Raw genomic sequence first — 12009 nt, 5'->3', positions numbered from 1 at the left:
CAATCCATGAGAGCAGCCGTAGATGCTGCACACTGCAAAGCCACAGGGCTAGATATGCCCTAGACCTGGGAAGCCCACCCCTCACACCAGTGTGCCCAGGATGCAGAACATCGAGTCAAGGATTATGTAGGAGCTTTAAAATTTAATGTCTGCCCTGCTGGGTTTTGGACTTGTGTGGGGGCTGTTGCCCCCTTTCTTTTGGCTGATTCCTCCCTTTTGGAATGGGAATGTTTATCCACTTTCTGTACCACCATTGTATCTTAGAAGTAAATAACCTGTTTTGATTTTACACGTTCATAGGTGGGAGGAACTTGCTTTTAGTCTCAGATGAGACCTTGACTTTTAAGTTAATACTTGAAATGAGTTGAGACTTTTGGGAACAATTGGGAAGGGGTAACTATATTTTGCAATGAGGGAAAGATATGAGATTTGGGGGGCAGAATTATGTGGTTTAGATGTTTGGTCCTACCCAAATCTCATGTTAAAATGTGATCCCAGTGTTGAAGGTGGGGCCTGGTGGGAGTTGTTTGTGTCATGGGAGAAGATGCATCATGAATGGCTTTGTGTCCTCCCCATGATAATGAGTGAGTTCTGACTCTGTTCGATCACATGACAGCTGATTGTTTAAAAAAGCCTGAGACCTTCCGCCTCTCTCTTGTCCATACTCTCACCAAGTGATACACTGACTCCTGCTTTGCCTTCCACCATGTTAGTAAGCTTCCTGAGGCCTCACCAGAAGCAGATTCTGGCACTATGCTTCTTATATAGCTTGCAGCACTGTGAGCCAAATAAATCTATTTTCTTCATAAATTAACCAGTCTCAGGTATTCCTAGATTGCAATGCAAAATGAACTTACACAATTTGCCTGAAAAACGGGAATATAATACCATTGTTTTGAAAAATGAGGCTTGATTTAGGTATTCCTATCCTGTAAGTTTTCTAGGAAATTCAAACATATCTCTCCCTATTATAAATTTAATGACATAATAGCATGAATTATCTTTTAATCAGGCATCACATACAATGATCTAGGCATTAGGTTTCATAATAATAACAATATCACTACTGAACATAACCAAAAGAGCCCTCAATAATTTCAAATCTTGTAATAGTAATTTGTTTTTTAAAATGGAGGAATGATTCAATAACTTTTAAATGTAAAATTAATATTTATTAGTTTTACATCAATTTTCTGTATTTTATTAATTAATATTTTAAAATTTATAACTGCCACACAATAATTGTACATATTTTGGGGATACAATGTGATGTTTCATTGTATGTATACATTGTATAATGACCAAATCAGACTAATTGCCACATTCATCACCTTAAACATTTATCATTTCTTTGTGGTAATAACATTCAAAATCTTTTATTATTTCTGTCTTGAAATATACACTACTATGTTATTAGCTATAGTCACCTTGCTGAACACCAGATCTTATTCTTCTTGCCTAACTGTACTCTATTGGAATCTGTTGATGAGAAACCTAGCCACAATTATTTTCTCTGATTATATTTTATAGAAAAGTTTTACAGTATTTTTTCATAAACATATATACTTTCTCTAAATGAAGAATTTTGAATTTCAAGTTTTTAGAAAAAACAAAACTTTTCCCCTAAGCAAACATCTGCTTTTATATCTGATGACAAATGTGTGGTGTGAATACTATCCAACACATGTTCATGTTTTGTACTTTTATGTCCCTATTTATTTTTCTCCACTGTAGTATTTATTACATGGTAGTATTATTCTGAACATTTATCTTGGCATTCCTTAAAACCAGCACAGTACCTCATGCTCATGTTATTTATTAAATAGCTACAATATTAAAAATACCATATTAACAGTTTTACCAAATTGTTAATGACTCATAGGCAGTATACCATCAAGGCACTACCCAAGGCAAATAAAGTAATGCTACTAAAATATCTGTCTCTTTCCCAAATTATAACTATTATTATTTTTAATTAAAGGTCTCCAAAGCATTAGCTTAGTTTTCTGCACGTAATAAATGAGATAAGAGCATGGCTTTCTGGTAACTCAATAGTTACCAGTTCTTCGGAAGTCTTTAATATCCAAGTTAATACTAAATGTAAAATAGTTATTACCTCATAAACTAGAAACACCTCCCATTATTACTGAAGTCCTATGGTGCCTGTATTGGAAGGTTTCAATTATTAACAAAAGTTGCTGCTGAACAGAGCACAAACAACTTTGCTGGACAAAAATTCAGTAACATATGAGTGACCCAATTGCTAGAATAATTTCCCTAAGGAGAAATATTTTCCATGAAGTTAGCCAAAGAGCTCATGTCTTTTTTATGTTGTACTTATATTCCATAGAATATTTATTTCTATATTAACACTCAGAGCTCGACTTCCTTATAACCATGCACGTGTGTTTCCATCTGAAGTGCCACTGAGAGGGGCTGTGCACTTGAATAATTTTCTCTACTTCTTCTGGGCTCTCCTTGAGAATAAACACACATACATATTTATGGTGTAGGTTCATTCATTTTAGGAATCAAAAATAGCTGCATAATAAAAGCAAGGATGTGTTTAAAAATGAATAGCAAATCTCAGCATCAGATGCATGCTGTTAACCCCCAATCCTTAAGCTTTATGGAAGCATCCTGATCTCATCATCCTCATAAGGATAAGATATTTAACTTTATGCCGACTGACCTGAATTTAAAAACAGAGGATGTAAGAAACATTAAATTGGCATGGTCCTATCATATATTAACTCTGAATTCTGTAATTTTTGTCTCTGAAAGTGTACATCGTTACATATTTTCATGAAAGTAAGAGACTTGAAGCCACATTTAGTCAGAAGTATGAACTTGGTAACCTTATTTTCAGTTACCTTGCCTTCATTTAAGCATTGCACACATCTAATTTTATTTGAACATTAAAAATTAGAAATTTTATATACTTGTTTTTACAAAATTATTTCATCTTATACACACAAAGCTTAACTAACAAAATAAACAGGAATGGCTGAATTCAGGCTTCAGGAGCAGACTAATTTTGTTGTTGTTTGTTTGAGTATGCTTCCCTCAAAAAATTACACACATTGAGTCATATGTTCCAACAAATGAATGCTTTATTAATATAACTAGCTTGTCTCTGGTGTTATATTATACAGTTATAATTCACATATTAACTAAACTTTCCTACAGAACATTATTACTTTCGATATGTAGCGTTGTCCAATAGAACTCTATGTATTCAGTCTTTGAATGAAAGGAATTTCTGTCTTTCTATACTTTTTATTTAATCTGTTTCTCTGCAAAATGCATCCAGACCATGCCAGCCTAAATAAATATACAGCTGATTTAAAATACCACAATAATACTTTTGAGGTCTTATAATATAAAATATCAAATTTTAGATAATATGTGTAATTCAAAGAAAATCCTTACATGCTTCTTCTTATAAAGAAGTTTGCTTGATAATTGTTTTATTGGGTCGAATATGGTAAATGTCAAAGAGTAGAGACAAAAAATTTTGAGGGAGAGACAGAGAGAGAGAGAGAGAATAATATTTCTTATTGGAGTTATAACAAAGACTTACTGGATAGTGTGACATCTTATTTGGTCTTCACAATAAGTAGAATTAAATTGTGACAGAAGAGACAGTTGGAAATAATATTACTTTGTAAACCAAAAGTCTGTAAATTATCTGCAAATTCAATGCAGTTCTTATCAAAATTCCAAAGGCATTTTTCACAGATATAGAAAAAAACAATCCTAACATTACTATGGAACCACAAAAAATCCCCAGTAGCAAAAACATCCTTGAGAAAAAAAGATGACAGTGTTATAAAATCTTGATATCAAGCTATATTACAAAGCTATACCAATTAAAACAAGACAGAGAGATGAATGAAACCGAATAGAAAGCCCAGAAACAAATGCATGCATATGTAGTCAACTAACCTTTAAAAAAGGCACCAAGAACATAACGGGAAAGGACAGTCTGTTCAGTGAGTGATGTTGGGAAAACTAAATGTCCACATACAAACAAATAAAAATAGGTATTTATCATATGCCACTTATGAAATTAATTCAAAATGGATAAAAGACTCAAATGTAAGACCTAAAGCCATAAACAAACAGAAAAACCTCCTTGACATCCATCTTGGCAGTGATATTTTGGATACCACACCAAAAGTACAGTCAACAAAAGTAAAAATAAACAAACAAGATTACATCAAACTAAAAAGCTTCTGCACAGCAAACGAAACAATTAACAAAATAAAAAGATAACCTACAAAATGGGAGAAAATATTTGCAAACAATGTATCTGATAAGGGATTAATGTCCAATATCCAAAATATGTTAGAAATACATACAGTTCAATAGCAATACATAAATAAAAATGAAAACTCAAATAATTTGATTTTAAAATGGGCAAATTCCCCAAATAGACATATTTTCAAAGAAGATATACAAATGGCAAATAGGTACATGAAAAGTTGCTCAACATCACTCATCAGATAAATGCAAATTAAAGCTTTATTGACATATCACCTCCCACCTGTTAGAATGGCTATTATAAAAAAATAAAAAAAGATAAATGGTAAGGTTTTAGAGAAAAGGGAACATTTATACATTATTGGTGGGAATATAAATTGATGTAATCATTGTGGAAAATAATAGGAGTGCTTCTCAAAAATTAGAAATAGAGCTACCATTTCATTCAGCTCTTCTACTTCTTGGTATATAAACAAAGAAAATGAAATCAGTATATCTAAGAAATATCTCCATGCCCATATTCACTGCAGCATTTTTCACAATAGCCCCGATAGGGAAACAAGCTGTGTCCATCAGTGAATTAATGGATATGGCATACATTACTCAGCCATTAAAAGAGAAAAAAAAATCCTACTATTTGCAACAACATTGATAAACATGAAGGACATTACACTAAGTGAAATAAACCAGATACTGAAAGAAAATACCACATGATCTCACTTATACATGGAATCTTAAAAAAAAAAAAAAGTGGAACTCAAGAACAGAGAACAGAATAAATGTGAGGCTGAAGAGAGAGGACAGAGATAGGTGAAAGTTTACAAACTTTTAATTATAAGATGAATATATTCTGAGGATTCAGTGTACAGCATGGTGAGTAACTATAGTTACTGCCTCTGTATTATATGCCTGACATTTGCTATAAGAGATCTTAATCACTTGCACCAAAAAACATAAGGAAAGAAACTATGTGAGTTGAAAAATTAATTGACTTGATTGTGGTAACCATTTTACAATATATGTGTATATTTATCATATCATCAGATTGTACACTTTGAATATATACAATTTTTAATTTATTGAATATGCCTCAACAAGTCGATAATAAATGAAGTGCTGGCCATCAAGAACACCAATAACATTATTTTGTGGGAGTACACCACACTGTGGAGCGAAAGTTTAACAGGTAATTGAGAACCAAATAATGCGGCTCACTGACAGTCATCTATGGAATCTGAACTTTATTTCAAAGTCAATAAAAATCCTATTTAAATCAAATTATATACAATTTAAAAAAGAAAGAAAATTATAATATGGTCATTTTTACAAACTTTATTTGTCCTAGGTAGTAGGCGTACTTATTGTAGTGAAATAGGAGGCAAAACAAATAACTATAAAAATATTGTCCCATATATTAGTAAGTACTGTGAAGAAGAATATACTTTAAGAAAGAAATAGGAATAAGTGGTCGAGAGGAAGTTATGTTATGGGAGTGAGGAAAAATTCCTAAATTAGGAGAAAAAAATTTCTATGTGATATATAAGACATGAGTTCACTAACAGAGATATAAATTTCGGATTCTTCCAGTATAAACAATAATTAAAGCCAAGTGACTGGATGAGCTCTCTAAAGGAAGGATCAACTAGAGAATAATGGATTGAAGGCTGGGGACTGAGACAATCCAAGGAGCAGCGTTAAGAAGGAAGTCAAAACACAGCCAGTGAAGGAAAATGGGCTGGGGCCTCCAGTGAACTTTGAGGAAGATAATCAAAATTGTATTTAAGGCAATCAAATTGGTTTTTTTGATGCAGAGTGACCAGCTGATTCAATTGGTGTTGACTGATGAAAAATTAATGGTTATTTAAAATTTCCTTTGAATTTGGCAAGCTCATGGGTGATTGGTAACTGAAATTTGTGAGTCGTAAGTGTAGTTGGACTGGATTCAAGAAGGAATGTGAGATGCTCTAGGGTAGATCTAATGCAGACAATTTCTCTACTGACTCTTACTATAATGGAAAAGATGGTATTTAATGATATTTTTGTTCTTTTATTACTATTGTTTTATATACACGATTGCAGCATACTTTTGTGTTGTGAAAGTGAACTATTATAGAGAAGGGGGAGAAGTATAGCTTAAGGGAAATGTTCTCTAGGGAAATGTTCTGAATTAAGACAGTCTTTTTGTTTTTGGTTTTTTAAGCTCTACGGTTACAAACTCTGACTCACCCTTTGCCATCAGTGCACTTCTGACATCATATAATTCACTGATGATATGCAAAGTAATTTATAGGTTTTGTAAAGGATCCAAAAATGAGTAAATGCATAGCCTCTGAAAATGAACACAGCTCTGTGGTGAGCTAAAGCACATATATAAATTACAATGCAATCCGAATAAAGGAAATGTGTCTGTAATAATTTCCACTAAATATATTTCAGACTTTATATTCCTATTTATGATCATTCTCATTCTCTTTTCTTTACTATGTACATAATCCTTTGGTATCTTCTAAAAAATGTTAGAGTTAATGGCAAACTCTGGTGAAGATTTCTATTTAAACCATTTTATAAAAAGGAGAATTACTAGAAAGTACTCTTAAGTAAGAACAAATCTACAAGTAAGAACAAATCTATGTAAGTATCTAAGTAAGAACAAATCTATATCTAAGTAAGAACAAATCTATGTCTAAGTAAGAACAAATCTATGTAAGTAAGTAAGAACAAATCTATGTCTAAGGCACACAGAGAGAAATATATGTGATAAATACATTTTCATATTTTTCTGTTTCTCAAATGTTACCTTCCAGAGTAACTGTACTTCTAAAGATGTTAATAATTTTATCTTTTACCTTACAGTCTCTGAAAATAATAACATATAATCAGCTCCATTATAAGCCATACGGATGGTAAACTATATGTTTACTATCTCACATATCTCTTTCCATGAGATGTTATTGTCTTACTACCTCATTTATTTCATTTTATTAAGAGTCACAATATTATGTTATGTCTCAGACGCATATTTAAAAACTAAGATTTACCAGATTTAATGTTTATAATTTGTTAGTCTAGGTGAATACATTTTCATTTTAAATGATTTCCTGAGAATTATTGTCTTACTTTGAGACAGGAAGAATTTCCGTTACCAAGCTTTCTCTATTTATATTTTACATAATTAAAATGTTCATGCTCAGAGAACAAATTGGATCCCATTATTAAATTAAGCATTATTATGTGTAGAATTGAAAGAGAAGTGTGTACTGCCAATGGGCATTTCAAATTGCTAAATTCTGATGACATTCCAGTTACTAAAAACATCCAAAATTAGAGCCATATAAAACAATGTATTTTTGGCAAGGATAGCCCAAATTAATGTTTTCATTTGTAAGCACTAAGTAAACACATTTCATCATAATTGCATTTTATGCATAATTGATATTGCATTGAAATGATACTCTAGTCAAAACTGTAAATAACCCACTCTGAAATGTTCAGTGAATTGAATGGCTTAGATTATCAATCTCTGAACAGATATGGAAGCCGTAAGGCAATCATATAAGGAAAGCATAAATTTTAAAGTATATGTGTGACTAAATTAAAGTTTCTCTGCTCTATGTATAATTGACTGACCTGAAATGACTGTAATTCATTTTAAACATTTCAGTATTTCATTCTGCAGATTGGCGTGTGACAGAAATAGATAAAGTGATAAGTTCCTACCTACTCTGAGCTTCATTGAAGCAGGAGAGAAGGGGCATTTTTAATGACTTTTAAAGTATGTGTTTAGCCTTAAATAGAAAGTCTTTGGTAGTGCAATAATATTTCCAGATCCATTCAAACTATACAAATAGTAGCTTATGTTTATGTGTACCACAACTCATAAATCATAATTTTCTCAAAATGTTACTTAAATACATCCAAAAATAATATTCCAAACTATTCCAATTTTTTCACATCTAAATGTGTCTAATACATGTATAGAACCTTTTATCTACTGCTAAACATTCCATAAACATTTTAATATTTTTAACACTTTCTCATAGTAAACATTTTTATTGCCAGCCAGCTCTGTGAGAAGATATTGTTAAATTCATCGCCCAGTAGAAACAGATTCAAGTATGCCGTTGCCGATTTATTCAGAATTATTTATAATTTTTTTCTTTGTATAAAACATGATAATTTAATTTTTTTATTTTTTGTTTAGGTCAGTAGTTTGTTTCTCATGAATATTTGACAAGCATCTAATTTCTTCTATTTCTACAGAATTCAGTTAAAACCTCAATGCTGTTAAAATTAGAGAGAAATTGATGTATAAACAGTCAGTGGAGACTAAGTATTTTCTTAGAGATGAAAACCCCATAAGAGTGATAGCACTGCAACAATACTTCTCTAAGCGCCTAAATAATGTAGTCTTAGCAATATGTCACCTGAACTCTGGAGAGCCTAAGACTATGGTTTTATCAGTAAAGGGCACTCTGGGGTTAGTATCCTTATAAGAAGAAACACCGGACAGCTTGTTTACTCTCTCTCTCTCTCCAATATGTGAAGACACAGTGAGAAACTGGCTATCTGCAAGCCAGGAAGAGAGCCCTCACCAGAACCCAGCCAATTCTGGCACCCTGATCTTGGATGTACAGCCTTTAGAATGGTGAGAAATTAATTTCTGTTATCTATCTGCCTCCACCATAAAAGAGCAGAATCCATCAAGAAAATGTCGCTACTCCAAAATTTTAAGGCATGATAATATCAAGATCTACATTAAAAAAACATTATGTAATGAAACATCTTCTTGTCATTTGACTGAGCTACTAAAGAATAGAAATTTTAGTGTCATTTACTATTTTGACACTCATAAAAATTTCTTTATTTCCATGCCTGCTTTACAAAATTATATAATTGTTTATAAATGTGAGTCTTCCACACAAAGTTATGCCTAATGCTTATTTTGGGTCCATTATAATTAAGACAATACTTTAATTTTGAAATTATTTATGGAATAATAATAAAAAGCACAATTATACAACATTTTTGTTATAAAAATGCCAAACTTTCTTTACTCTATTATATGTTTTATTTTACACTTGCCCTGGTGAGGCTGCATCTGTATCTCTAAATATTTTGCCTCTACTGTCTTCAACTCCATTTAATTTTTCTTTCAACTTTCCCACTATTACTTCAGACAGATCTCATTTTCAAGTGATTTTTGCCAAATGAACTCCTCTATTTTTTGTTTTTAACAGCCAAAGACAAGTCTAAGTTTAAATTCTAATTTTGCACATATGTTCAACATCTGCCGTCTCCCAAACTCAGCTCTGACCCACAAGTCGGGAGATGAAAGGTAGGAGAACAGTCAGCTTTTTCCTTACTCTGACTTCAGTCCTATTAAACTATATTCCACTTCCCCTAGTTTTTTGCCTTGACTTTTGTTACCTTATTCCCTGTTTGTACCTAGCAAATTTCACATAATTTAGCAGCAGTTGATGCCATTTTCTTTGACCTTTCTCCAGTTCCTGTTGACTTTTCCCGTATGAAAGATGCGCACAAGTAGAAAGGTGAAGTTTTGTTTGTTATAGATGATGGGGCAAATGGATATGGGTGTGGTCATGTGCTTTACTCCAGCATATATCTGCTTATCCAATAGACATCCAAAATTAAATAACTTCCTTATACTGAGTACTATTAATCATTTATTTTATAAAATGCATTTTTTCTATAAGATCAATTTCTAGTTTATTAATAATATTGATACTATTTCTTCAGAATGAATAATATGACTTTATGATAAGTGAATATTTACCTCTTCTTTCCCTGAATTATATTGCAGAACATCATACTAAGAGACAAATTACAGTTTAATGCCCCAATTGCTACTCTAATTCGTGGTCTCCTTCCAATAGGGGAAATTTTATATCTCCTTTCCATTTTTGTGAATCAGATAGCTAAAATAGTTTCAGGGACCCTATGGAGAGTATTCTATGGTCAGAAACAAATTAAAAAATAAGAAATAAGTAACAAAACCACCACCAAGAAAACAACACTTGTGTATGCCAAATTGAATTTATCCCTCCACTATCAGTTTGTGAATACAATTGTGGAACTATTGTGCAAACCAGGCATAACTTTTATATACTACATACATGTTTTCTACATTAGAGCTTCACAATACATTGTGTAATATATAATCATAATGTATCACCTGTCACAATACTGTTTTTTTAAGGCCTTCATCTTTTTTTCACCAGTGATTTGAGAGGCCACATTTGTCATATACCAAATTCCATTTGTATTTTCCATGTGTTACTGTGCTTTTTGTACAATTTCACTGTTAATATGACTATTCAGGCATCAAACTCATGCTGCTTAAATTAAACAAGCTTTTTGGTATGTTTTTATATATGAGAAAGCAACTTCTCCCTTCCTTATTTCTGTTCATTTTCAATGTTTTCATGTGTTCTTTGTTCATTTATTTGCTAATATAAAATTTTAATCAACTTACCTAGATAGAAAAAATAATTAGCACTGTTAGTTGGATGACATTAAATTTACACATAAACTTGGAGAGAAGTGATATATTTTTCAAATTAAGCTATCTTCTAAGAATATGGGATGGCCTTCCATTTGTTCAAGTCTGTTTTGTATTTTTCAGTGGATTTTTAATTTTTTCTTATTTAGCTCTTAAAGACTCCTTAAGATGTCAACAGCACAATCAACCAAAGCAAAAAAGACAGCAAAGAAACAATAAACAAAGTGAACAGACAACTGGCAGAATGAGACAAAATATTTACAAATTATTCAACTGACTTAGGATTAATAACCAGAATATACAAGTTACTCAAACAATTTAGCAAAAACAACCCCCAAATAACCTGATTAAAAATGGGCAAGGGATCTAAATAAACATTTCTCAAAAGAAGACATATAAATGGCCAACAGGTATGAAAAAATGTGCAGCATCACTAATCATCAGGGAAATGCAAATCAAAACAACAATGAGATTTCATCTCAGTCCTTTTAAAACAGCTTTTATAAAAAGACAATAATTGATGTGGGTGACAATGTGGAGAAAGAGGAATTCTTATATATTATACATTGTTGATGGGAATATAAATTAGTAGAGTTACTGTGGAAAAGAGTATGATGATTCCTCAAAAAATTAAAATAGAGTTACCATATGATTTAGAAATCTTACAGTTGAGTATAAATCCAAAAGAAAGAAAATCAATGTATCAAAGAAATAGCTGCACTCCTATGCTTATTGAAGCACTACTCACAATAGCCAAGATATAAAGTCAACCTATCAACTGATGAATGGATAATGGAAATGTGGTAAATATATGCAATGGAATATAATTCAGCCATAAAAAGAATGAAATCCTGTCATTTGCTACAACATGAATGGAACCGGGATGAAATAGGCCAGGCACAGAAACAAACATATCTTACATCCTCACTCATATGTGGGAACTAAAAAACAAAAACAAAAACAAAAACCTAATGGAGTTAGAGAGTAGGATAACAATTACCAGAGGCTGGAAAGGGCAATGGGAAAGGGAGCATAAAGAGGGGCTTGTTAGTGGGTACAAAAATACAATTAGAAAGAATAAGATCTCGTGTTTGGTACCACAAAAGGTGACTATAATTCACAATAATTTGATATATTTTCCAAAATAAATAGAGGAGTGAATCTGCAAAGTTCCCAACACAAAAAATGATAAATGTTTGATATGATGAATATTCCAAATACCT

This window comes from Homo sapiens, chromosome 14 (assembly GCF_000001405.40).
Source record: "Homo sapiens chromosome 14, GRCh38.p14 Primary Assembly".
Classification (NCBI taxonomy): Eukaryota; Metazoa; Chordata; class Mammalia; order Primates; family Hominidae; genus Homo; species Homo sapiens.
This window is presented reverse-complemented; position numbering follows the sequence as displayed.